At 38.3% G+C, this 27,928-nt stretch overlaps 1 protein-coding gene across 21 annotated transcripts in view, besides 1 other annotated feature; it reads right to left on the bottom strand.

Moving 5' to 3' along the window:
- The window catches only part of TANC2 (tetratricopeptide repeat, ankyrin repeat and coiled-coil containing 2), a 461,469-nt gene that overhangs the window by 97,444 nt on the left and 336,097 nt on the right, over nt 1-27,928 (bottom strand). For all 21 annotated transcript variants that reach the window (XM_011524597.3, NM_001394998.1, XM_006721810.4 and 18 more), the window contains 2 exons: nt 15,591-15,872; nt 11,170-11,303 (listed from right to left, as the gene is read on the bottom strand). In XM_011524597.3, the coding sequence (XP_011522899.1) occupies nt 11,170-11,303; nt 15,591-15,872 (416 nt within the window). The remainder of the gene's footprint in view (nt 1-11,169; nt 11,304-15,590; nt 15,873-27,928) is intronic.
- Nucleotides 24,756-25,350: an enhancer, noted in NCBI's record as "H3K27ac-H3K4me1 hESC enhancer chr17:61382271-61382865 (GRCh37/hg19 assembly coordinates)". NCBI's record gives its function as "activates a minimal SCP1, AML or CMV promoter by ChIP-STARR-seq in primed H9 embryonic stem cells {active_cell/tissue: H9 hESC(primed)}" and the evidence as "EXISTENCE:reporter gene assay evidence [ECO:0000049][PMID:30033119]".

Genomic DNA, 27,928 nt, shown 5'->3' with positions numbered 1-27,928 from the left:
TCTTTCCTTAAACCTCATGAATCAACCTCTGTTACCTTCAAACTCTTTTTCTGAAGCTTCCTCACCTCTCTCAGCCTTCATAGAATTGAAGAGAGTTAGGGCCTTACTCTGGATTAGGCTTTGGCTTATAGAAAATTTTGTGGCTGGTTTGATTTTCTAACTAGACCACTAAAATTTTCTCTGTATCAGCAAAAAGCTTGTTTTGCTTTCTTACTGTTCATGTGTTCACTAAAGCAGCACTTTTAATTTCCTTCAAGAACTTTTCCCTTATACTCAAAACTTGATTACTTGCTTGGTGCAAGAGGCCTAGCTTTCAGCCTATTTTGGGTTTTTGACATGCCTTCCTCACTAAATTTAATTGTTTCTAGCTTTTGATTTAATGTGAGAGATGTGCAGTTCTTCTTTTTACTTGAACACTTGGAGGCCATTATGATGTTATTCATTGGCCTAATTTCAATATTGTGTCTCAGAGAATAGGGAGGCCCAAGGAGACAGAGATGGGGGAATGGCTGGTCAGTAGAGTCATCGGAACACATAAAACATTTATTAAATTTGCTGTCTTCATGGTATCTGAAACCAATTACAATGGTAACATCAAAGACTACTGATCGCAGATTACCATAACAAATATAGTAATAATTAAAAAGTTTGAAATATTGCAAGCATTACCAAATGTGACATGGAGACATGAAGCAAACACATGCTCTCAGAAAAATGGTGTTGACAGGCGTGCTCCAGTATGAGAGTGTCTGTTTTCCCACAGCCTTGACAACAGAATAGTTTTTAAATTGTCATGTTTTAAAATTTTTGCTAGTTGATAGGTAAAAAACTGGTATCTCAGTATTGATTTAGTTTGCATTTCTTTAGTTATGAGTTTGAACATGTTTCAAAATGTTTCAAGGCCATTTTAATCTTTTTTGTGAGTTGTCTGTTTATTTTTTTCCCATTTTTTCATCATGTTTTGGTCTTTTCCTCAATTTTAAAGAGTTCTTTAAATATAAGAGATATTAACTCTTTATCTGTAGTATATGCTATAATTTTTCTTAAAATTTTTATTGATTCATTAAAAAAATAATAAATCTATCATGCTGACATCTAAGAATATGTTTTATGAAAATAACTATTTTTCAAAGCAAACATTTCAGAAAGTGGCACTGTGTAAATTTTTGCAATAGACTCCCAAATCTGCCTCTGCATTCAGTATGCTCCAAGAAACTGTTTTGGATTCAAGTACAAGACGAAATGCCAGTCATATGTTGGAGAAGGGAAGGTGGATGTTTTTCTTTGATACTATGCTAAAAGTTGACAAGTGGTAGATTTTTAAATTATTATGTTTGATTGACTAATCATAATTGCATACATTTATGGGGTACAATGTGATGTTTTGATATATGTATATAATGTGGAATGATGAAACCAAGCTAATTGACATGTATCACCTCCCTATTGTATCATTTTTTATGGTGAAACACTTAAAAGTTAGTTATTTTGAAATATATTATTGTAGTTGCCCTGCTTTGTAACAGATCTTAAAACTTATTCTTCCTATCTATCTGAAAATTTGTACAAGGGAGAAGTTGTTGATCACCTGTGATCAACAACTTCTCCCATTCCTTCCTTCTTCACACTCCCAGTCTCTGGTAACTATCTTTCTACTGTTTACTTCTATGAGTTTAACTTTTTTAGATTCCACATATAAGAAAGATCATGCAGTATTTGTCTTTCTGTTTCTGGCTTATTTAACTTAGCATAATGTCCTTCAGTTTTATCCCTATTCTTGCAAAAGACAGGATTTCCTTCTTTTTAAAGGCTAAGTAGTATTCTATTATACAAACACACACACACAATGAATACACACACACACACACACACACACACACACATATACACATACACATACCATGTTTTAAAATTCTGTTTTTCTTCCAACTTTTATTTTAGGTTCAGAAAGTACATGGGCAGGTTTGTTAATGGGTAAATTGCTTGGGGTTTGGTGTACAGATGACTGTCACCCACAGTGAGCATAGTACCCGACAGGTAGTATCCTCACCTTCCTCCTACTTTCCACCCTCAAGTGAGCCCCAGTGTCTGTTATTCTCTTTCTTGTGTCCATGTGTACTCAATGTTTAGCTCCCATTTATTAGCAAGAACATGCAGTATTTGGTATTCTGTTCCTGTATCAATTTGCTAAGCATGATGGCCTCCGGCTGCATCCATGTTGCTGTAAAAACCAAACACCGCATGTTCTCACTCATAGGTGGGAATTGAACAATGAGAACACATGGACACAGGAAGGGGAACATCACACTCTGGAGACTGTTGTGAGGTGGGGGGAGTGGGGAGGGATAGCATTAGCAGTTATACCTAATGCTAAATGATGAGTTAATGGGTGCAGCACACCAGCATGGCACATGTATACATATGTAACTAACCTGCACATTGTGCACATGTACCCTAAAACTTAAAGTATAATAAAAAAAACCATGAATGATTTCATTCTTTTTTTTTAATGGCTGCACAGTATTCCATGGTGTATATGTACCACATTTTCTTTATCCAGGCCACCACTGATAGGCATCTAGGTTGATTCCATGGCTTTGCTATTGTGAAAAGTGCTGCGATGAACACATGGACACATGTCTTTATATTTATATATAGAACAATTTATATTTCTTTGGGTATATACCCAGTAATGGGATTGTTGGGTTCAACAGTAACTCTGTTTTAAGTTCTTTGAGAAATTTCCAAACTGCTTTTTTAAAAAAATAACACACTTAAAGAATCCATTCAGCTTGGTTCCATATCTTGGCTACTGCAAATGATGCTGCAATGAACATGGGCGTGTGGCTATCCCTTTGACATTGATTTCAGTTTCTTTGCATATATACTTGGAAGCAGGATTACTGGATCATATGATAGCTCTATTTTTAGTTTTTTGAGGAACCTCCATGCTGTTTTCCATAATGGCTGTACTAATTTACATTCCCACCAACAACGTAAAGAGTGCCCTTTTCTCCACATCCTTGCCAACACTTATCTTTCGTCTTTTTGGCAAAAGCCATTCTAATTGGTGTGAGATGATATCTCAATGTGGTTTTAATTTGCATTTCCTTAATGATTAGTTATGCTGAGCATTTTTTCATGTACCTGCTGGCCACATGTATGCCTTCTTTTGAGAAATGTCTGTTCAGGTCCTTTGCCCATTTTTTTAATCAGGTTGTTTTTTGCCATTGAATTGTCTGAGTTCCTTTTATATTTTAGATATTAACTCCTTATCAGATGTATGGTTTTCAAAGATTTTCTCCCCTTCTGTGAATTGTCTCCTCACTTTGTTAACTGTTTCCTTTGCTGTGCAAAAGGTTTTTAGTTTACATGTCATTCCATTTGTCTATTTTTCCTTTTGTTGCCTGTACTTTTGAGCTCTTTTGTCAATATTTTCTCTCAGTTTATCAGTTGTCTTTTGACTTTGTTTCTGGTATTTTTTGGTCATGCAACATTAGAAGTTTTTTTTTTGTTGTTGTTGTTGTTGTTTTTGACAGTCTCACTCTATCACCCAGGCTGGAGTGCAGTGGCATGATTGTGGCTCACTGCAGCCCATACCTCTTGGGCTCAAGCAATCCTTCCACCTCAGCACCCTGAGTAGCTGGGACTATAAGCACTTGTCATTACGCTCAGCTAATTTTTTTTTTCTTCATAGAAACAGGGTCTCACTATGTTGCCCAGGCTGGTAAAATTTTTTCACGTGGCCAAATTTGTCAATCTTTTCTTCTATTCCTCTAGCTTTAGATCCTAGAAAGCCTTTCTCTTCACCAAGGTTAAAGAGAAAGTTACTAAGTTTTCTTCCATTAGTTGCATGGTTTCATTTTTAAATATTTAGATCCTTAATCCATTTGCTTATTCTTGTGCATGGTGTGAGATATGAGTTATCTATATGGTTATTTAGTTGTCTCAGCCCATTTAATTAAAAAGTCCACCTTTATCCCAATGATCTGAAATACTGCCTTCATCATACACTAAGTGTCCACATGTCCTTGGGTCTAATTCTGAACTTTTTATTCTATTCCACTTGTCTATTCACATACTAGAAACACACCGTTTTGATTTAGGCTTTACAGTATGCCTCAATGGCTCGTAGTCAGAGCCCTGTTGTTTAATTAGCTGTAGCTGAGATCAGGATAATGTTTATCTTTGTTATAATTCTAGATCTAAACAGCTGTATCCTGTATATTGCTACTATTCAATTATACATTACTGATTACTTGAGCCAAAGGAGGTTAGGGCCGATAACAAATACAAATTTTAAAGAAAAGCGGCTAATTTATTTAGTTCATCTGGAATTCCTAGAGATGCTGATCTGGCACACATAAACAGTCTAAGTACATTCAATCTACAGTTTATGAAACTTTGTCTTAGAGGATTGGTGGAATTCCAGATTCTCAAACAAGATTCATTCCCGGAACACATGAATCTGATTCTGAATTGACCTTATAAATTGGTTGGGAACCACTATCATGTATAAGTACCCAGCTGAATACTCCAAGATTTCCTAATAGAAAACACTAACATTTTCATTCATTCACAAATATTAATTGAACTTCCATTGTATATCAGGCACTGTGCTAGGTTTTAAAGCTATAATAATGAGTAATATAGCTATGACCCCTGTCTGCCCTCCACAGTTTAGCAGGAAACAGAGGCAATTAAACAAGTAATAATAATAGTGTGATAGAAGAGAGGAAACATAGGGTGCTAGGGCAACACACAGCTGGGGCACCTTAAGGTAATTTAGGAGAGCCAGAGAAAGCTTTTTTAGAAGAAGCAATATTTAAGCTGAGACATGAAGAAGGACAAGGGGTGAACCAAGGTGTGGTAGTTTTCCAGGCAGGGGAAAAAAGTATGCAAAGGCCCTAAGGCAAGACATAGCTTTTTACTTTCAAGGAACTGAAATCAATTTTAGTGTGGCTAGCATATAAGTGAGTGGGGAATGGTGGAAGATAGGGCATGGCGAGGTTTTCCACTGGCAGTGGTTTTGCTCCCCAGGAAACATTTGGCAATTTCTGGAGACGTTTCTGGTTGTCTTAATTAGAGGTTGAGGGAGTGCTACTGGTAGCACAGAGGTCAAGGTCACTTCTTCTAAATATCCTATAGTAGACAGGACAACATCCGCCTTGCCCCTGCCCGCCCCCCGCCCCCCACCCCACACAAAGAATTATGTAGTCTAAAATAACCGGTCCTGGGAAAAGCAGAGGTCCTTTCATTACAATTTTTATGATATTTTAAGAAGGGAGTTTGGATTTCATTCAAGGGCAAGGAGGAGCTATTTGATGGCTTTAAGTAGCAAAAAACAAATGTTTTAGAAAGATTACTCAGTACAGAGAATTGACTAGAATTTCTTCATTCAAATATTTATGTGCCATGCATTGTGTAGGAGCTGGGGATATGGTGGTGAACATTTAAACACTGACCCATTCTAGTGGAAGAGGTAGAAAATAAAAACAACATAGAAATTAACAATAAACAACAAGGCTGTTTTCCCATATTCAGTGTTCCAAATGTAGATGAAATCTGGGTCTGACAGTAAAACGTCAGTGTTAATTTTTAGAGAAGAAAAGCCCTAGACAAATTTTATAAAACATCATCTATGGGGTATGTGTTGTTTAGTTTGGATCTCATTTCTACTAAATGAAAATATTTTTAAAAATAATCACTACAACACAAATAAAATCTTATTCTTCATTATTGTTTTTCATTTTCTGTGTATGTATGTGTGTGTGTGTGCATGTTTCTGGCTTACATTTCCATATTATGTTCAAAATGCTCAATATTAAAGGATTACTGAAATGACTACTTCTTTGGCTGACAGCTTTAATAGTGACTGCAACAATTTCAGGAACCATGATCATTTGACACCCCCTGGTATAGTACAGAACTTGTCTCTTGGCAAGGATGACATTTACTTTTTTTCTTACATAGATTTCCTTGGGAAAAAAAACCTTTGCTTTTTGTATCTCTGTGACACTTCCTAAAATTAGCTGTTTTCTCTAATGAACTCATTTCAGATATGTTAGCTTCTTAATCTAAGGACTGTCAGTGACAACTTGCTTAATGTGTTGGGAGATTCTAGTTGCATAAAAACCTTTTTTGAAGAAGAATTTTAGGTCAGCAAAATGACTGAAAGTACATCTTCATTATAATTTTCTTGCTGTGAAGCCACCTTAAATGATGGATGGATTTTTCGAAATAACACTAAACTAAATTCCTTCCTGTCACACTAGAGAAGCAGCTTCGTGCAGTGGTTAAGAGTATAGACTTTGCCTGCCTCAGTTTAAATCTTGACTCAGTCATGTACTAGCTTATGGTCTCAAGCAAGTTATTTAACCTCAGAGCCTCTATTTCCTCATTTGTAAAATGGGGATAACCATAGTATTCACATTACAGGGGAGGATACTGACTCTGAATCCTCACTTCGTTATTTATTAACAGTATGACTTTGAAAAAATTAATCACTGAAGTCACTGTTTCTTCATCTGTAAAATGAGATAATGATGTACCTCATAGGGTTAAGGTAAAAATGAAGAAATGATATAGCAAATATAAGGTAAATAGCACTAAGCCCATAACACACATTAAGCCTTCCATAAAGGGAGGCCAACTTCTCCTTGTCTCGTGAATTTTGTGTGTATTACCACAGGGGCACAACAGATTCAAAACCTAGAGAAATCTCTGTTGGAGTTAAATTCACATATCCAGGAAAGGCCCTGAATGAGATCTCCCTGTCCCTCTACTGTGATTATGCTTTAGAAGAAATATGTAATGTTAAGTGGAGACACGCTCGAGAGATGCCAACCTATCAAAATCTTTGCTTCAAATGGAAAGTATTTCTTCAATAAATGAAATAGTTCTAAAGTTGTGACAAAAACTCTCCAGTGTTCTCAGTTAACTAGATGCACAAGAAAGAGCAAGAATGTTATGAAATACCAATGATAATTACTGACATACAAAGAAATGACACCAAGAATATGTCAAATTGAGAGATTTTTCAAGAACACTTTAAATTTTCATGTTAGTCTACCTCATCAAAACATTAACTAATTTGAAAATCCTATTTAAAAGATAATTTCTGCTTACTGGTTTGCTATAGGTGAGCAGCAAGATTGCAGGCTTCTGCTCTATGCGTCTACAGAACACTTTTGTGTAGCTGAACTGTAACACGTAGCACAATAACTGGGATAACATTCAGTTTTAAGCTAAGTGGCTACTTCTGATACAATGTTATAAGCTGAACAGGATTCCATGTCTAGGTGCAACTAGATTAATTTATATTTTGCTTAAGGAAGACACAATCATGAAATTTAACATGTAATCATGCCTCAAATAAGTATAAACAGTAGCCACTAATTTCCTACTTATGACATGTAATGTTTTCCAAATATTGAACATGAACATCTTGGGACTTCTCTTGATGAGAGAAAGAATAAGATGTAAGAAAGTGAGGAGAATTAATTCTCTGTGATCTTAGCACTTATCATCTTCTGACATACTATATATGTATTTGTTTATTGTCTTTCTCTCATGAGAATGTGGACTGTATAACAGCAGGAATTGTGTCTGTTTTGTTCACTGATTTATCTTCAGTCCTGGACTATAGGTCCTTCAAATGTATATCTAAACTGAATAACTGAATGACTGAATAACTGAAGTGCTGGAAGCACTTTAACATCTGTGTATTTCTAAGATAGATATTAGTCTGTTCTTTTTTTTTGAGACGTAGTCTTGCTCTGTCGCCCAGGCTGGAGTGCAGTGGTGCGATCTCAGCTCACTGCAAGCTCCACCTCCCAGGTTCACGCCATTCTCCTGCCTCAGCCTCCCGAGTAGCTGGGACTACAGGCGCCCGCCACCACGCCCGGCTAATTTTTTGTATTTTTAGTAGAGACGGGGCTTCACCATGTTAGCCAGGATGGTCTCGATCTCCTGACCTTGTGGTCCGCCCGCCTCGGCCTCCCAAAGTGCTGGGATTACAGGGATTCTAACTGTTCTAAAGAAGAGGATAGAGACCGTTTACACAGGAGATATTTAGAAAAAAACAGAGATGTCTTTTAAAGCTACAATGACTTCGCAATGAATTGACGGAAATCTCAGATTTTGCAGAAGCCCATTTATAGATGAGGATGTACTACTGAGTAGGAATAATTAATAATGTATCTGGGAAAACATGCTGTTTCTGGCTTGGAGCTGGAGTGTATTTCTATGAAAAATTTGAACCTTACAATATTACAGACCATCTGTAAAACTTCCACAAAGCATAGGAATTAGAAACACCAGGTACTGTGGAAGAGAAGGGTGAAGGGACCTGAAAACACAGAATTTATATGAAGTTTATGTAAGAAGTTAGATCCCCAGATTCCCATCCCTGCCCTGCCCAGCCAGGTGACTACCTTCCCCAACACCCACAGGAAAGAGAACTAGAGAAATTAAACAAGAGAGAATCTAGACTTAGGGACACCACACATTGAGCAAGGTAGAGATCAGGTGCAGGACTGAAAACAAGGGGCTTAAATAAATGTCTGATAGTGAACAGTGAAGCTCCAGCCCTCTTTTCCTGCCCAGCTCCAAAATGCTGGCACCCAAGACATATACTCTCCAGTCAGAAGACTGGAGGATTCTTTGCTAGAGAATTTGAACAGCCCAGGAAAAAAACTTAGGAATACTGACTTTTGGGCATTTCAAAAAAAGGGCGGATCATCTTAATGTTCTATGGTCAAGCTCTCTACACACACAAGCTTCTAATCAGTTTTTTCAGTGCCTAAGTAAAGAATACATTGCGTCCATAAAACAAGAACAGGATGCTATAAAAAGAAGGAGACAGCTGGAGAAAAGGAAGAACTGTTACACATTAAAACTATGAGAGCAAAAATAAATTTTTTGTAAAAGGATTGGAAAGTAATGTTGAAGAAATCTCTCAAAGGTGGATTAAAAAACCAAAAAACAAAAGTATAGAAAACAGAAAAGTTAAGAAAATGAGAGTATCATACCAGTATAGGAAATTTAATTTTTTTTTTTTTGAGATGGAGTCTCACTCTGTTGCCCAGGCTAAAGTGCAGTGGCGCAATCTTGGCTAGCTGCAACCTCCACCTCCTGGGTTCAAGGGATTCTCCTACCTCAGCTTCCTGAGTAGCTGGGACTACAGGCACATGCTACCACACCTGGCTAATTTTTGTATTTTTTTGGAGATGGGGCTTTGCCATGTTGGTCAGGCTGGTCTCAAACTCCTGACCTCAGATGATCCACCCACCTTGGCTTCCCAAAGTGCTGGGATTATAGGCATGAGCCACTGCGCCCAGCCAGAAATCTAATTTTTTATTAATACGAGTTGTAGAAAGAGAAAATAGAGGAAATGGTGGTGAGGAAATCATCATACATAATACAAAAGCATTACTCAGAATTAAAGAATATTTCCAGGGCTTGCTAGGTACCAACAGAATAAATGAAAAAGACTCAAGAACAATGGTGATAAAAAGGATTCTAAAAGCATTTGGAGAGAAAACAAGGTATATATAAAGGATTAGGAATAAGAATAGTATCAGAGTATTTAGTAGCAATATTGGAAGCTCAAGACAATGGAGCAATGCCTTCAAAATTGAGAAAAAATAATTTTTACCCTAGAATGATATACTGTGTCAAACAAATAAGCAAGTATAAGCATAGAATAATGATGCTTTTAGAAACAGTAAGTATCAAAAAATTTATGTCCTATGCATTTTTTGTTAGGAAGCTACTGGAAGATATGCTCCACCAAAATGAAGAATAAAATCGAGAAAGAATATGACATGAGATGAAACACAAAAGAGGAGGGACAGGAACTCCCAGGAGAACAAGGTGGTAAGCCTTCAGAGTGTCCTAGGTCCAGACTGAGCTCGATGGAGGGCTCTAGGACGGAGGCCTCCAGGGTAAAAAATGTAACTTGTAAGTGTGGAAAACTGTACTGACAGAAATTTTACAAAACTACATTAAGGGTTATGAAATGACTTAGCCAAAGATTTGAAGAAAAATAAGCAAATTTTAAAATGAGGCATTTCATAAACCCCTAGGAAAAACAAAATCGTTCAAGAAGGAAATGTTATCCTTGGCGCCAGAGTGATGTATTTGCACAGTATTAATACTGAAAATACTATATATAATATGGATTCAGCCAAAAATCATGCAATAATTGTATTGGGATGGTGGTAGGAAGAAGGAAGGTGAAACAACTATAATTCCCATCATCCATAATAAGAAGCAATAGATAATTTGTAAACTAATAAAAATTTTAGCAGTATACGAATAGTATTTAGAAATATGGAGGTGAAAATCAGAGAAACTTCCTTAAGAGGTAAAAGTGGCTGCCTGTGGAGAGAAGATGGGTGGGGTAGAGGAAGAGCACTGCTGGTTTTGAGCATTCTTTGATTTTCTATGTGTTTATGTTATTTTGAAAAAAATAGAAATTTCAAACTCAAATGTATAAAAAATATTATGGACAGGGTAGTATAGCACGAAGAGTTTTAAGCTAGGAATGAAAATTTAAAACTGTTGATTACTTATACCCTGATGTTGGGTAAAACATACCACTTCCGGTTGGGTGCAGTGGCTCACGCCTGTAATCCCAGCACTCTGGGAGGCTGAGGCGGGTGGATCACCTGAGATAAGGGGTTTGAGAGAAGCCCGGCCAACATGGCAAAACCCCGTCTCTACTAAAAATACAAAAATTAGTCTGGTGTGGTGGCACGCACCTGTAGTCCCAGCTACAGCTACTCAGGAAGCTGAGGAACAAGAATCACTTGAACCTGGGAAGTGGAGGCTGCAGTGAGCTGAGATTGCACCACTGCACTCTAGCCCAGGAAACCGAGAGAAACTCCGTCTCAAAACAAACCAACCAACTAACCCACTTCGGTCTCAACTTCTTTATTTATTCACTAGAAGACGTTTTTTCTAAGGGTCTTTCCAACTCTAAGGTTCTGATCCCATCACAATAAAGTATTTTTCTAGGAATATCAAAGAAAGAGAAACTTTCCTCCACGTTCTCATGGTATAGCTTTACGTATTTTTGTTCACTTTGCCAAAGGTCTCCCTATCTTTGCTTCCTTGATATTAAAATGGAACTACCATATCCCCAACGTGGGAATCATATTGTACCTGCGAGGCTAGTCTTCGCATAGCCTCCTCCTGCCGCCTGCGCATTTCCGGAGTTCCTGGGCAGCTTCCACTGGTGATAGATGAGTGGGCTGAAGGTGGCTGTGTGAGTGGCAGCTCTCTGTTGGCATCCACATCTGGATTAAAAAGATTTAGATGTTTGCATCAGATAATCATAAAAACTTTAAGGAAAAATGGCTAAATTCCATTTGTTCTATGATCTAACAATTCTGCTCCTAAGTATATACTTAAGAGAAATAAAAACACATGTCCACCCAAAAACTTGTACACAAGTGTTCACAGAAGAACGATTCATAATAGCCAAAAGTGGAAACAACCTAAATGCCCACCAACTGATGAATAGATGAAATACAAAATATCCATTCAATAGACTACTAACAATAAAAAGAAATGAGATACCGATACATGCTAGAACGGGGATAAACCCTTGAAAATGTTATGCTAAATCCAAGAGGTCAGTAAAAAAAAGGACCATATATTGTATGATTCTATTTATGTGAAATGCCCAGAACAGAAACATCTGTAGAGACAGAAAGTAAATTAGTGGTTACCTAGGGCTGGAAATAGAGGGTTAAGAGGAGAATGGGGATTGACTGCTAACAGGCATGAGCTTCTTTTAAGGGGATGAAAATGGCCTAAAGTTACATTATGGTGATTGCTATACAACTCTGTGAATTATACTAAAAATACTGAGTTGAACGCTTTAAATGGGTGAATTACATAGTATGTGAGTTACAGCTCAATAAAACTGTTTTAAGATTTTTTTAAAAATTCAATTTGTTCTTATTTAGAACATTTATTGTTACTAGTAGAAATTATAGGCTATATTTATGAATAAGATCATACTTTAAAAATAGATACCAAAGTAAATATTAGAAGTTGTTATTTGATGGCCAATAGTGATTGAAAAGAAGGAAGAATAGGAAAAAGTAGTCCTCATTTAACTCCTTACCAGTAGGAGTGAATTTAGACTTCTTTCATTTAACTGGTGCAGTAAATTTCTTGGTCACTGGATACAGTTCTGGATAACTGCAGGGGGGTGGGCATGGAGGATGGCAGTGAAAGAAGCCTCAAGGACTGTGTGACATTTGGGTTGAGGTGAAGTTCAGTGATTGTATGTTACTGTATTATTTCTGCATTATTTCTGCTGTTCACTTCCTTCCCCTACTCTATTCCCCTTTATCTGGTATTTGATTTTGTGGGTAATTACTGTCCAAATGCCCTCTGTCTTTCTAGCTATTTCCTTTTGGAAATGCCCTCCTTTTTGTCTAAACACCTTACTTTCTGTTTGGTATTCAGACAATAGTAGAAATAAAAGTTAATAGGTAGGCAATAGTCAATGTGCATAGCACACTGGCAAAAGAGACTTCTGAAATGAACAGAGTAGGAACGTAGGATTTATTTACTTAACAGCTGTTTGGGGGCTTGGCAGCTGTTGGCAAATGTCAAATCCAAATAATAACTACATTGAGACTTTTAGTGATAGAAACATACAGTCTTGTATTAGAGCTTCCCCAACTACTATACTGAGAATACCTGTAGTTAATGTAATAATCCTGAATTATACAACAGGTCTGTTTTCACAAAATATTTTTGTTCTTTGTGTGTGTGTGTGTTGGGGGTGTGGATAATGGTGGTGGTGGTGGTGGAGACTGATGGGGGTGTCAGGTTTGGGAGAGTAGGTGGAAAGCAGGATGACAGGCTAGTGCCTGCCTTGACAGCTTTTCTATACCTTTCCAGGGAAATGACAAGGAGGGGGGCGGGCTGGGGGGCTGAGTTTCTGTGGGGGAAGGACAGCCAAGCAAGGCAGTACTGCAGGCTAAACTGCTCCTATCTTCCACAGCAGTGGTGCTCAGCTTTTATTTCTACTATTCTCTGAACACCAAACAGAAAGAAGACAGGGGCAGAAGAAAGAATGACAGATGATGCAGAGAAAGAAGTTGGGAACTCCAGTGATTTCCCATGTTTTTTTATTATCACTACAACTATTAATTAGTATCATCACCCAAGGATTAAGAAAGCCAGTGAGGTTCCAAATGACCCATCCAAGCTTAATATGATAACTCATATTAAGTTTATATATAATAACTTATATTAAGTTTAATATAATAACTTATATTAATAACTTATATTCTGTAAAAAATTAAGCCAACCCTCCATATACAGACATCATTCTTACTATTAGTGAAAAAACTGCTGCTCCTGCCAGTAACATATTCAACACCAGTTCATATAGGTAACAGATTTGTGCCAAAAAATAGCTTGCATTATATCAGTCACTTATTCTTGACCCTTCTATTGGTTAAGATGGCACTGGTAGAATATAGTTTGGCCATCAATAAATTGTAACAAAAATTATTTTGTATAAGGTAACATTGGTTCTGAGTAATTCTGATATATAGAACCGCATATTTAGCTCTCTTAACTCCTTTCAAATTCGGAAAGTTAACTGTCAGACCAAATCTACAGTCTCAACAACGGATGTTTATCTCATGAATGGGGAGTGTCTTGGTGTTTCTGGAGATTCTCCTGAAGGCAATGGATGTTAGAGAATAACTTAGTGAACTACCTTTAAAGAATCTCTGCTTTGGGGAGTACATGGGCTGTTTTCTATAAACTTTTGCTCCCCCAGGCTCATAGAGAGATCCCCAGGTACCTCTGCTTTCTGTGAAAGCAACTCTTCTCGTCCTTGGGATTTATTTTCTGTCATGCATGATTCTACCACTCTGTTATCTGCAACTCTGATATACAGAGGAGTCACAGAGAGCTTGAGCTTTCTGGCTTCCTTTCTGACACACTCAAATTGCAAGCCACTTGAACTACTCAGATAAACAGCAGTTTGGAGTGATAAATACTTAAACACTCAAAGGAAAACACTGGAATAGTGTGGAAAGTTACTTTTAACCATGAAGATGTGTTCTCAGAATCAAAATTTTAGCAGAGACAATTCTGAAAGATCAATTAGTCACACTTCTTCATTTTACAAATAAGAAAACTGAGCTCTAAAAAATTCAAGTAAAATTCTCAAGTTCACAAAGTCTAGTCAATTTGAGTGTTGGGGCACAAACCCTGGGCTCCTGACTCCCACAGTACTATGGCAATCTACCTCAGAAGAGCTTCATTTAGAAACTAAGCATTATATTCCTCTGAAGAAAAGAATTCTTCCATACCAATTCTTACCATACCCTGGTAAAGAGGTATTTTGATTCAGTTTTCTTCCAAGACACCAGTTCTTCCACGTTAGACATCCATAAGTTTATCAGAGGCCATCTGCCTCCTTAATGATACAAGGCTGCTAACTAGCTTCAATAGGAAGTCAATAAGTTTGGAGGGTCTTCACTGAGTTCCTGTTAAGTTTCCAGCACTGTGCTAGACCCTGTAACTACTATTATCTCACACAAACCATTTCTAGTGGTTGCAGTCTGAAAGTCTGTGGTGGGCTAGATTATTGATTTGGACTAACAAAGCAATAGTTTCTTTTTTTGTTCTCTTCTAACTAACAGAAACCAGGTAAACTGGTTCTATACATGTAGTATGTATAAGAAGAATACTGATACATTTCTATTTATTTTCTTTACTCAAGTGAGTTTCACCAGTAAGGAGAGGCAGCATAGTAAAATGGATAGGAGAATGGCCTCTGAAACCAGACTGCTTAGTTCTCCCATTTATTGGCTGTAAAACCTAGCAGAACTTACTTAACCTCTCTGGGCCTCAGATTACTTACCTGTGAAATGAAGACAACCTCATTGAGCTGGTAACAGGATGTGATGAATTAATATTTGTAAAAAAGTTAAGAGAGTATCTGGCACATAGTAAGTACCATATGAGTGTTTTAAAAATAAATCAGTAAGATCCTGGTAGTGATTACTGGGCTGCCCCCTGGTTGTGATGAAAGAAGCCTGAATACATATGAGAGCTCAGCACCTTTTCACAAGGAAGCAGGAGAGAACCCCTTCAAGGACACAACGAAGCTCAAGTCCAAGCAGTGCAACACTGACGCCAACAGCAAAGAGATGAAGGATGCAAACAGACTGTGCTGGCAAATAAGAAGAAGAACTGGGCACAGACTGAGCAAAATCCAACAGTGATGAATGCAAATTGCTCTACGGGCAATTGCTGCGGTCGTTATCTAGAGGACAGTCCAACCACACAGCCGGCACGGAGGAGTCATAAACTTATTCCACGAGAAAGGTTTTTCTTCAGTCACGCTTAGGTGACTACTGGGTATGTGGGTTAGATGTAAATAGAGTATTACAATCTTTCTCTCAACCTAAATGAATAGTCCTCACGTGGAAGTCAGGTTTTGCAGATGAGAAAATAAAAGGATATACGACCTAATATAAATATGTCAGAAAAACTTCAGCGCCAATGAAACAGGGAGTTCTTTAAAAAGGAATACGTACGTTTGGGGGAGGCATGTGGGCTGTCTGAGGCGATCTGTCTCATCCTTGTACCATGGCAGCTGAGGGCCACCAGTCTGGAGATGATGGCAGTTTTGCCGAATCCAATGTTTCCCACAATCACTACTCCTTGGTTCACGCTGGCATTTGAACTTTGAAGTTGAGCATCTATTTCGTGGAAAACCCAATCTCGGCCAACAAACACTGACTCTGTAGTGATGCTGGGCACTTCAAAGAGCAGAGGCTTCAAGGAGATATCTGGAGGCCTATAAGGTGCAAAGCGAACTGAAAGGAACAAGAGAATGCAGAACTTAGGTCAAACTGTCAACATTGAGAGAAACAAAGAGAGAAAAAATGCAGTGTGGTTTAGGGACTTGAGTTATCATATGATGGCATCCTAGGCTTATTCAGAAATAATGCAACTGCGAATGTTGATTCTATACAGATAAGCAACACAGGCGAGCTAGAGCTAATTGATACTGTAAATTGCAGAACACAAACACTGATAAAACATTAATGATTTACTTGATCAGTCCGAAAGTCGGGATGATATTCAAAATTATTACAGGGAAGGGATGGCCCAAGCACCAGCAATCACTACGGATGCAAGCCTAGTGAAGAAGGGACCTAAAGGCCTCCTGCTACGCCACGGGATAACCTTTTAATTGTTGGATTGTGGAGAGGTGCAGGAGTGAAGTTCCTGTTGGAAAGGCCAGGCTGTGGCGGGGCATCTAGACAGCTTACCGTAGCAGCTCTTTACTAACCAGTAACATATTTCAATATTTCACAACCAATATGGCTATACCAGTACGTATCAGTTGAAAATCAGTCCTGAAGAAAGCAGTATAGAGAGGCTTGTTTGTTTCTTTAAAAACACCAATGAGAATAGTAATTCCTTTAAGTTCATGCTAGTATTTTTTAAAATCTAGTAGGTATTATTATTAGGGGAAGCAAGGCCATTAAAAGCTCTGATGGTTTAAAAGATCTTAAACATTCTAAGCAGTCGAGCAGAAAGCAGGCCTTCACCCAGTGTCTCTGTGCCTGTACTGCTTACTATTGATGCCAATTAAAAAATAATTTTTGGCTTATACATCTCTCTTGGGGATAGATCCACACAGTTTTTCTCAAGATTTTTTTCTGTGCTTATATAATTATGGGGTGTGCTAAGGGCCAAGAATAAACTATACTGTCAACAGTTTTCTAAAAATGCAGAATTGATGTGACGTGCTTTAAAAGAAGATCTACTAATTATATTGATGGTAAAAGGAAGTCCTGCCTGATGGTCCATATCTGGGTTAAACGGCTTCCTGAACTGTTCCCAGAGCAGCTCTAAGACGTATCACTTTATCTGTCTGAAACCAGGTATTTCATTTTTGTTTCTTTAACCTTAGCACAGTGCCTTGATATATACTAGGTGCTCAAAAAATGCTTAAGGAAAGAATTAATTAAAAATAAGGTATTACACTCTAACTCCATTTTTCAAATATTTTGGAGCACAAGAAAGGCCAGGAGTGGGAAAGAGATGGAAAGAGGAGAAAGAGAAATCACAAAGGGGAAAATGAGATAATTTATACTTCATACGTTACTCTAGAACATACTTGAACCACTTACACACCACAAGGTGGGATACAGAGATGGTGGCTTACTTGAGAAAACACAGACACACGCACACATACATGTGTGCACTCTCATTTAAAACTGCCTGAAAGCCACTAGAATAACTGAGCATTTAAAAAAGGCTAAAATTTCCAAAAGTAGTGCAAATAATTTAAAATATAAAGCCAAATTCTGACAACAGAAACAAAATGCCCAAAGTTTTCATTAACTAAAGTGGGGTTGTGGGGGGTTAGGGGAAGCTGTGGAGATAAAGCTACAGGGTCACTTATAATTCCCTGATTCACATTTCTGTAACAAAATTTACTCTTGTATTTATTAATAATTTCAACTTTTATTTTAGATTCAAGAGGGCACACGTACAGATTTGTTATCTGGGTATAGTGTGTGATGCTGAGGTTTGGGGTATGAATGATTCTGTCCCTCAGGTACTAAGCATAGTACCTAATAGTTTTTTGACCCTTGCCCCATCTTCTTCCCCCTTCTAGCAGTCCCCAGTGTCTACTGTTACCATCTTTACGTCAATGAGCCATGAGTACTCATTGTTTAGCTCCCACTTATAAGTGAGGACATGTAGAATTTGGTTTTTTGTTCCTTCCTGTGTTAATTCACTTAGGATAATGACCTTTAGCTGCATCCATGATCCTGCAAAGGACATGATTCCATTCTTTTTTATGGCTATATAGTATTCCATGGTGCATATGCACCACATTTTCTTTATCCTATCCACCACTGATGGGCACCTAGGGAGATTCCATGTCTTTGTTACTGTCACTAGTATTTTAATGAACATACGCATGCATATGTCTTTTTGGTAGAACAAAAAAACTACTCTTTTAAAATCCATACCTATAATTATTAGAATTTGATGAAAAATAAACTTTAGTTTGCCAAAAATCCTTTTAAAATCTAGTGTCTCATAGCTAATAGATTCTATTTTACTTAAACACTATTTTACTGATGTAATTCACAAACCATAAAATTCACTCTTTTAAAATATACAATTCAGTGGTTTTTAGTATATTCACTAAGTTCTGCAACCATCACCGCTATCTATTCCCGAATACCTTCATCACCCCCAAAGAAATCCTGTATCTATTAGCTGTCATTCCCAATCCTCACTCCTCCCAGTCCCTGGCAATCAGTAATCTACTTTGCCTGTAAAGGTTTGCCTATTCTGGACATTTCATATAAACAGAATCATAGAGTATGTGGCCTTTTACTTCTGACTTCTTTTACTTGGCTTAATATTATTCATTACTTTATTGCTGAATAATATTCCATTGTATGGATATACCATATTTTGTTTATCAGTTAATAAACATTTGGGCTGCTTCCACTTTTTGGCTGATTAATGCTGCTATGAACATTCATGTACAACTTTTATGTGAACATATGTTTTCAATCCTCTTGGCTATATATCTAGGAGTGAAATGTCTGATTCATATGGAAACTCTTAGGTTCACTTTTCTGAGAAACTGCCCAACTGTTTCCTCTATTTGGCTTTTACTATATTCTTATTCAATATATTTTCACTATAGAAAACTGAGGGATAGTAGATAAAATAGTAACTGTGTTTCCATTAGCTAGAGAGAAATGCTATTAGCATGTATTCTGAGTTTTGCCTGTACCATATATACTTATTTTAAAAACAAAAATGGGATCATACTATATATACTGTTTCATCATTTACTTTTTTCACCTAGCAATGTAATGTGAACATCTCTCTACATGATAAAACATAAATCTATATTATCATTTTTAATATGTGTAGACTCTTCCATTATATAACTAAATCATAAGTTATTTAACCAATATCTTATTGTTGTATGTTTAGATTATTTTGGTTTTCCACTGTTATAATCACAGCTAACAATGAAATAGCCTTTACTATATGCCAGAAACTATTTCTAAGCATGCTAACTGGCACAACAGTCTGATGATAGTTATTACTACTTTCATTTTATAGATAAAACAGAGGCAAAAAGAGATTAAGTTATTTGCCTAAGGTCTTTTACCAATCTGAATCTTATCTACTATGCTCTAGTTCCTCTCACGAAAAGCGGTACTACAAGCAGTGGTACAATACACATCACTGTATATTCACCTTGGCACACCTGCCTTATTTTTCTTGAAACAAAATGCTAGAAGTGAAATTTCTGGGTCAATGGGTTGTGTTTTTGATACACCTTACCAAATTGCTCTCCAGAAAGATTATCCTGGTTGCGTGAAAATGACCATATCCCTCTCAGTCTCATCATCACGGGGTAGTATTATTATTCTTTATCTTTGTTAATCTAGTTAAGAATGGCATCTCATTGTGTTTAATGTATATTTTGAGTATGAAAAGTAATTTATGTGTGTGAAAGGTGATTTTTTAAAAACATGTGTATTGGCTATCTGAATTCTTTTGTGAATTGCCTGTTCATGGCTTTTACTCACATTTCTATTGGAATGCCTGCGTTTGTCTTACTGAATTTGTGAGAACATTTTTAACCCTGAGGACATTAATCTTTTGCCTTTCATAGTTACTTTTTGCAAATAATTTTCTCAGTTCTTTGCCTTTAAAATTTTTCTTTCTTCCTTTTAGAAATAATATTTTTCTTTTTTTGAGATGGAATCCTGCTTTGTCGCCCCTGGCTGGAGTGCAGTGGCGCAATCTTGGCTCACTGCAATCTCTGCCTCCCAGGTTCAAGTGATTCTCCTGCCTCAGCCTCCTGAGTAGCTGGGACTACAGGCGTGTGCAACGACACCAGGCTAATTTTTGTATTTTTAGTAGAGATAGGGTTTCACCATGTTGGCCAGGCTGGTCTCGAACTCCTGACCTTAAGTGATCCACCTGCCTTGGCCTCCCAAAGTGCTGGGATTACTGTGTGAGCCACCAAACCTGGCCTCTTCCTTCTATTTTAATTTGTGAAAGTTGAAACAGTTTATGTCGCCAAACTTGTCAGTCTTTTTCTTTATGGGTTCTGCCTTTAGTGTTGTTCTTTGAAAGTTCCCTCTTAATCCAAGAGTATAAAAACATTAACATTTTTTTTCTAGTGCTTTTTTGAGTCTGGTATAGAGTAGGGATCTAACTTTTTTTTTTCCCCCAAAGGGTTAACAAATTTTACCAGTGACAATTTAAATTATCACCAATTTGTAATGCTTACTTTATCTTATTCATATTGGGTTTGTTTTTAAGTTATCTAGTTTGTTCCACTTATCTGTAAGTCTACTACTGCATCAGTGTTACGCTGATTTAGTTGTTATTATGTACTAGTTAATTGTGAGTCTCCCATCATTATTCTTATTTTTTCAATAGATTTTGAAAAATACATAGTTTCAAAAATAATTTCCGGAATTAGTTTGAAATTTACCATAAGAAATCTTTTCAATTTTATTCATTCAGTTCTGACAGTTAATCAGAAAATGCTCCATTTAAGTTTCATTAAATGGATTTCTTGAAATAACCATAAAACATCTTCTTAAACCAAAGACAGATAATTATTTCATCTTAGCAGATATATATTACACATTTGAAAACAATGATTTAGTTTTAATGTCATATTTTAAAAACCCAGATAATTCACAAAACAATTTAGAAAGCAAACATTTAAAAATGTTTATCTTTGACATAACCAAATAAATACAAATTAAAGCAAACTATATCTACCATTAGAAAAAAATACGGTTTTTTGGCATGTAATCATATTCAAAACCATCTTTTGAAAAAATATTAGTTTCTTCAGTTACTGGTAGCACTGTAAATGTGTCCAACTTTTAGAGAACCGACATTTTGCAAATGCCAATTTGACCTTAAAATCCTGTTCTGGGAACTTATTCTAAGGAAATGATTCATAAGAAAAGTGCAAACACACACACACTAACACATACATACATACACACACTCACATTTTTTGCAGCATGTATGGTGTTAGTAAAGGTGATTTAGTAAACTATGGTGTATCTACCAAAAATTACACAGACATTAAAATAGAAAGGAATACTTTCCAGAATCATGGAAATGTGGAAGTATTTATGAAATAAAATTTAGTAAAACAGTAGAATAAAAAACAATATATATTATGATTACAATTTACAGTATATGCAGATGGAAGCTAACAATACTCCAAAACAAAAATAGTGAAGGTATGATAGGATTAATTATATCTTTAATTATAATTTTTTTAAAAAAATTTTTCAATAGGAATATTAGCTATTTTTTAAAAAGCTGCAAAATGAATTGGTTGTTATTTTACCCAAAGACAAAATAAGCAAATATTTTATCACAATCACAAATTATTCTGTCATGCATGGGTGAATATAACTACTGCCAAATCCAACAACTAATTAAACTACATCAATTGAAACACACAAGCATATATGTCCTGGCTATCTCTCTCCCACTTTTACTGTGTATACATTTTTAGAAAATGAAAACAAAGTATATGTAGTTACAAATTTTAACTGTTGTAGCTATTACAGAATGATTTTAAAAATCAAAAAATATATAAATATATAAAATTGGCTATTTCTGCCAGGACAGTCTGAATGTCAGGCTGAGTACTTGGTTTATATTTCCTTTGAGTGACAGGCAGTGATGACCCACTGAAGTGGACCTAATACTAGGCTTGGCTCACTGGAGAGGGAAGACAGACTGGAGATACCCTGAAGACTACTACTCACTATAATAGTCCCAGAAAATGTGATGAAGGCCTGAACAAGGGAGACACCAATGAAACAGCAAAGAGTGAAGAAATATGTAGGACCTGTCAAAAAACTAGATGTAGAGGGATAGGGAGCGGAAGAAGCCAAAGATTTTTCCAGTTTCAAGTCTAAGGGATTATGGAGCTGAAGAGCACCAAAATTAAAATATAAGAAGAAATTTACTATGGGATAGAAATAGCTTTCCTGCTTTCTTTCTGTTATGTAAAGGCCTTCCCCCACTAAATATGAATTAGAGATATAATTTCCTCAACATCTGGGAGGAAAGGATTAAAACTCTGGATACAGGCTGGGCACCGTGGCTCACCCCTGTAATCCCAGCACTTTGGGAGGCCGAGGCGGGCAGATCACAAGGTCAGGAGATTGAGACCAATCTGGCTAACATGGTGAAACCCCGTCTCTACTAAAAATACAAAAAATTAGCTGGGCATGGCAGCGGGCGCCTGTAGTCCCAGCTATTCGGGAGGCTGAGGCAGGAGAATGGTGTGAACCTGGGAGGCAGAGATTGCAGTGAGCTGAGATCGCGCCACTGCACTCCTGCCTGGGCAACAGAGCGAGACTCTGTCTCAAAAACAACAAAACAACAACAACAACAGCAACAACAAACTCTGGATACATTAGAGTATGCCCAAATTTAAATTTCAAATGCATTAAACAAAATTGTTCACTGAATTAATCTCTATAGAAAATCAAAGAACCACACCAATATTCTTCTGTGATTATGTGACAGTTCTATACTCATACAAGCCCTGAAACTCTTGAGTTTGAATTCTATAGAATATAAAAATGTAGCAGAAATCCTCTTTATTTTATTTAAGGCCTTTATTTTATGTAGGCCACTGAAATGAGGAATATGTGTAGGATGAAGGTCTGAATATCTTAGACAAGTTAGCTGATAATTATTTTTAGATTACATCGGGGGAAGGAAACTTACATGAATTGATATAAGCACCTGCTAACATAGGAAAGGGCAGCAGGGTGAGAAGAGTAAGGAGCTCATAAAATAAGAATTAACAAAGTAATGGTAGTTTTCTAGAAAAGAAAGGGTCCTTCTTATCGACTACTCCTATTGCTACCCGGACTGAGGCTGGAATGACCAGTGCTGGAACTGGGCCTGTCTGATGATAAAAGGACCATATCACTCCCCTACGCAAAACCCTCCAGTGGTTCTTTATTGCATTTAGAATAAAATCAAAACTCCCTCCCATAGTGCTCAAGGCTCTAGATGATTTGGACCCTGCCTACCTACCCCTGCAGGCATCTCACATCACTTCCCCCTCAGTCTATGCCCCAGCTCTTCTGGCCTTCCAGTTTCTTGTTTCAGCGTAAATGCTACTATGTTAGCGGGGCTTCCCCTGATAAGCTTTTCAAGTTGGTTTCCCTACTGCTCATCATTTTTTTTTAAGAGACATGGTCTTGTTCTGTTGCACAGGCTGGAGAGGCAATCATAGCTCACTGCAGCCTCAAATTCCTGGGCTCAAGCAATCCTCCTGCCTTAGCCTCCCAAGTAGCTGGGACTATAGGCATGTCCCACCATACGTGACTATTTTTAAAAAACTTTGTGTAGAAATGGGGTCTTGCTATGTTGCCTAGGCTGGTTTTGAACTCCTGGCCTCAAGTGATCTTACCTTGGCCTCCCAAAGTGCTGGGATTACATGCGTGAGCCACCATGCCCGGCCCCCATAATTTTCTTTTAGCCAGAGGGCTTATTTGTTTCTCTTGGAGAATTTATCATAAATACTAATTATTTTATGTTCTTATCACGTATTACAATCTAACAATATTTATTCTTTTGTTTTCTTGCTTATTCCTGTCTTCTTAACTAGAATGCAAGCTCTATGAAGGCAGGAACCATCACTGTATCAGTACATAGTCTGGGGTACATAGTAAAGGCTCAGTAAATATTTGTTGAATGAATGAATATTGAAGAAGGGAATCAAGAGAGTTTTATTAAAATAATTTTTATGTATTAGTAGAGGAGATGAGTGAAGTATTTTGTTATTATATCAGGGTGTCATTATATCACAAACATCCTGAGTATAATTAAAATGAAAGTTCCTGCTATTTAAGAAGTAAACTTAACCAAGCAATCCCAGTCTGTCTTCAAGTCTTATGAATTTTTCCTTAGAAAGATCTCTTGTATCAGTTACCTCTGTTCGTTTCCAACTGCTCCCACCTAGCTCAGACTTTTGCTACATTTACTCTCCTTGCTTCCTGCCTGGCTTCCCTTACTTCCTGCCTCAGTCACTCCGTTTTGGATATTATGCCAGACCAATTCTTTATTACAATGACCACATTACGTCATTCCCTTCTAGCGCGTCCAAAGGTGCAGTTTTCTGCTGTATCAAATCTAAGCTAAGCTCCTCCCCAGGTTCTGACGGCTTTCTGTAACATGGCTCAATTCTGTCCTGTCCACGCCTCACACCCTGCCACCATGTGCTATCTGAGGCAGACAAGGCAGTCTTCACAGAGTACCCTGACAAACTGCTCCAATCCAGTTCCTGTGCCTTAGGGCAGGTTGTCCCTTTGACCTGAAATGCCCCTCTTCTTCTCTTCATACCATGTCCATATATTACAGTCAAGGTTAATTTTCATCTTCTTCATAGTATCTTCCTTAATCAATCTAGTCCTCATTTATTTTCCTCTTCCCAAACTAAGTTTACTCCATATAATTTAGTGCTTAATTATACACTGACTTACACTACTTATTAACATTTTAAATACTGTTTTTCCAACCAGATTGCAAACTCTTAGAGAAAGGATAATGTCTAGCAGTTTTAAATACAGACTACATGTGAAAGACAGAAGAAAAAAGGGAAATCATAGCGGGTGGGGCCAAGATGGCTGACTAGAAGCAGACGCGATCAGAGGCTCCCATTGAAAAGAACCATAACACTGTGTGAATCCTGCACCGGCAACCGAGGTACCCAGGTTCCATCATCAGAACTGACTATGTGGCTGGTGTGACCCGCAGAGAGGAAGGAAGAGCAGTGTGGTAAGGCGGCCCACCTGAGAGCCACACGGGGCAGAGGAGTCACCCCCAGCCAAGGTAGGCAGTGAGTGAGTACGCTACCCAGCCTGGGAAAACATGTTTTTTCCACGGAACTGTGTAACCCATGGATCGGAAGATCCTACTCGTGAGCCCACACCAACAGGGCCTAGGGTCCCAACCATGGAGCCGCACAGATTCTCAATAGCCACTCGGCTAGAATGTGCTTAAGCCTACCAAGCTCCTGGGGGTAGCGGGGGTGGTGACCAGCACCACGGCTGCAGCTGCCTGCTGTCTAAGCCATCTGAGCTCCTTGGGGAAGGGGCAACAGCGAACAATAGGACTGATAGCTGCCTAACACACTAAGCTCCCTGGGCAGGGGATGGGCGGCAGCCATCTCTATAGCTCCAGGCTGCGCTTTCCCCTGCCGGAGCAAGGGAGGATGGATGGCTTAGTCCCAAGAGGTGTCCTTCACAGCTGAACACACTGGCTGTGGCAGACCGCGGACAGAGTGCCTCTTCAGGCCTGACCCATCCCTCCTCATTGCACGGGGCCTCCCTGCAGGAACTCCAACAACTCCAGCCAGGGACTCAGGGATAGAACTCTAATCTCCCTGGGCCTGAGTCCCTAGGTGGAAGGGTGGCCGCAGTCTCCATGGACCAGCAGACTTAGTCTTTGCTCCTGCATAGTTCTGAGGAATCCAGGGAGCCCAGACAAGGCCCCCTACCCAGCAAAGCACCCCCGTCCACCAAGGGACAGTCAAAGTGCTTTGTTAATAAACAGGTCCTGCTCCCCGTGCCACCCAACTGGTTGAGAATCTCCAACAGGGGTTGTCAGACACCCTATACAGAAGCGTTCCTACTGGCATCAGGTCAGTGCCCCTTGAGGTCAGAGATCCCAGAGGAAGGAGCAAGCACCCATCTTTGCTGCTCTCCAGCCTCCTCGAGTGAGAATTCCAGGCACAGGAGTGAACCAGATGAATAGGGCCTGAAGTGAACCCCCAGCAAACTGCAGCAGCCCTACAGAAGAGGGACCTGACCATTGCAAGAAAAACAAACAGAAAGCAATAACAGCATCAACAACAAGATACCCACAAAAACCCCATCTAAGGGTCAGAAGCCTCAAAGATCAATACTAGACAGACTCATGAAGAGGAGAAAGAATCAATGATAAATGCTGAAAACTCAAAAGGCCAGAGTGCCTCTTCTCCTCCAAATGATCGCAACGCCTCTCCTGCAAGGGCGCAGAACTGGATGAAGGATGAGATGGACGAATAGACAGAAGTGGGCTTCAGAAGGTGGGTAATAAACTCCGCTGAGCTAAAGTAGCATGTTCTAACCCAATGCAAAGAAGCTAAGAACCTTGATAAAGGTTATAGGAGCTGCTAACTAGAATAACCAGTTTAGAGAGGAACATAAATGACCTGATGGAGCTGAAAAACACAGCACGAGAACTTCGTGAAGCATACACAAGAATCAATAACTGAATCGACCAAGCAGAAGAAAGGATATCCAGACCATCTTGTTGAAATAAGGCACGCAGACAAGATTAGAGAAAAAAGAATGAAAAGGAACAAAAAAACCTCCAAGAAATATGGGACTATGTAAAAAGACCAAACCTGTGATTGACTGGAGTACCTGAAAGAAAGGAGGAAAATGGAACCAAGTTGGAAAACACACTTCAGGATATTATCCAGGAGAATCTCCACAACCTAGCAAGACAGGCCAACATTCAAATTCAAGAAATACAGAGAACCCCAGTAAGATACTCCACGAGACGATCAACCCCAAGACACATAATCATCAGATTCTCCAAGGTTGAAATGAAGGAAGAAATGTTAAGGGCAGGCAGAGAGAAAGGCCAGGTCACCTACAAAGGGAAGCCCATGAGACTAACAGCAGACCTCTCAGCAGAAACCCTACAAGCCAGAAGACAGTGGGGGCCAATATTCAACATTCTTAAAGAATTTTCAACCCAGGATTTCATATCCAGCCAAACTAAGCTTCATAAACAAAGGAGAAATAAAATCCTTTCCAGATAAGCAAATGCTGAGGGATTTTGTCACCACCAGGCCTGCCTTGCAAGAGCTCCTGAAGGAAGCACTAAATATGGAAAGGAAAAACCAGTACCAGCTACTGCAAAAACACACCAAAATATAAAGACCAATGACACCATGAAGAAATTGCATCAACTAGTGTGTGAGATAACAAGATAGCATCATGATGATAGGATCAAATTCACACATAACAGTATTAACCTTAAATGTAAATGGACTAAATGCCCCAATTAAAAGACACAGATGACCGGGCACAGTGGCTCATGCCTATAATCCCAGCACTTTAGGAGGCTGAGGCAGGTGGATCACCTGAGGTCAGGAGTTTGAGACCAGCCTGGCCAACATGGCGAAACTGTCTCTACTAAAAATACAAAAATTAGCCAGGCATGGTGGCGCATGCCTGTAATCCTAGCTACTAGGGGGGCTGAGGCAGGAGGATCCCTTGAACCTGGGAGTTAGAGGTTGCAGTGAGCTGAGATCATGTCACTGCACTCCACCCTGGGCAACAGAGCAAGACTCCATCTCAAAACAAAACAAAAAACCTGACACAGACTGGCAAATCGGATAAAGAGTCAAGACCCATCTGTGTGCTGTATTCAGGAGACCCATCTCCCGTGCAAAGACACACATAGGCTCAAAATAAAGGGATGGAGGAAAATTTACCAAGCAAATGGAAAGCAAAAAAAAAAAAAAAAAAAAAAAAAAAAGCAGGGGTTGCAATCCTAGTCTTTGACAAAACAGACTTTAAACCAACAAAGATCAAAAAAGACAAAGGGGGCATTACATAATGGTAAAGGGATCAGTTCAACAATAAGAGCTATCCTAAATATATGTGCACCCAATACAGGAGCATCCAGATTCATAAAACAAATTCTTAGAGGCCTACAGAGACTTAGATTCCCACACAATAATAGTGGGAGACTTTAACACCCCATTGTCAATATTAGACAGACCAACGAGACAGAAAATTAACAA

The sequence above is a fragment of the Homo sapiens genome, chromosome 17 (assembly GCF_000001405.40).
Source record: "Homo sapiens chromosome 17, GRCh38.p14 Primary Assembly".
Taxonomy (NCBI): Eukaryota; Metazoa; Chordata; class Mammalia; order Primates; family Hominidae; genus Homo; species Homo sapiens.
The sequence above is the reverse complement of the archived record's forward strand: the minus strand, read 5'-3'. Positions and strand labels throughout refer to the sequence as shown.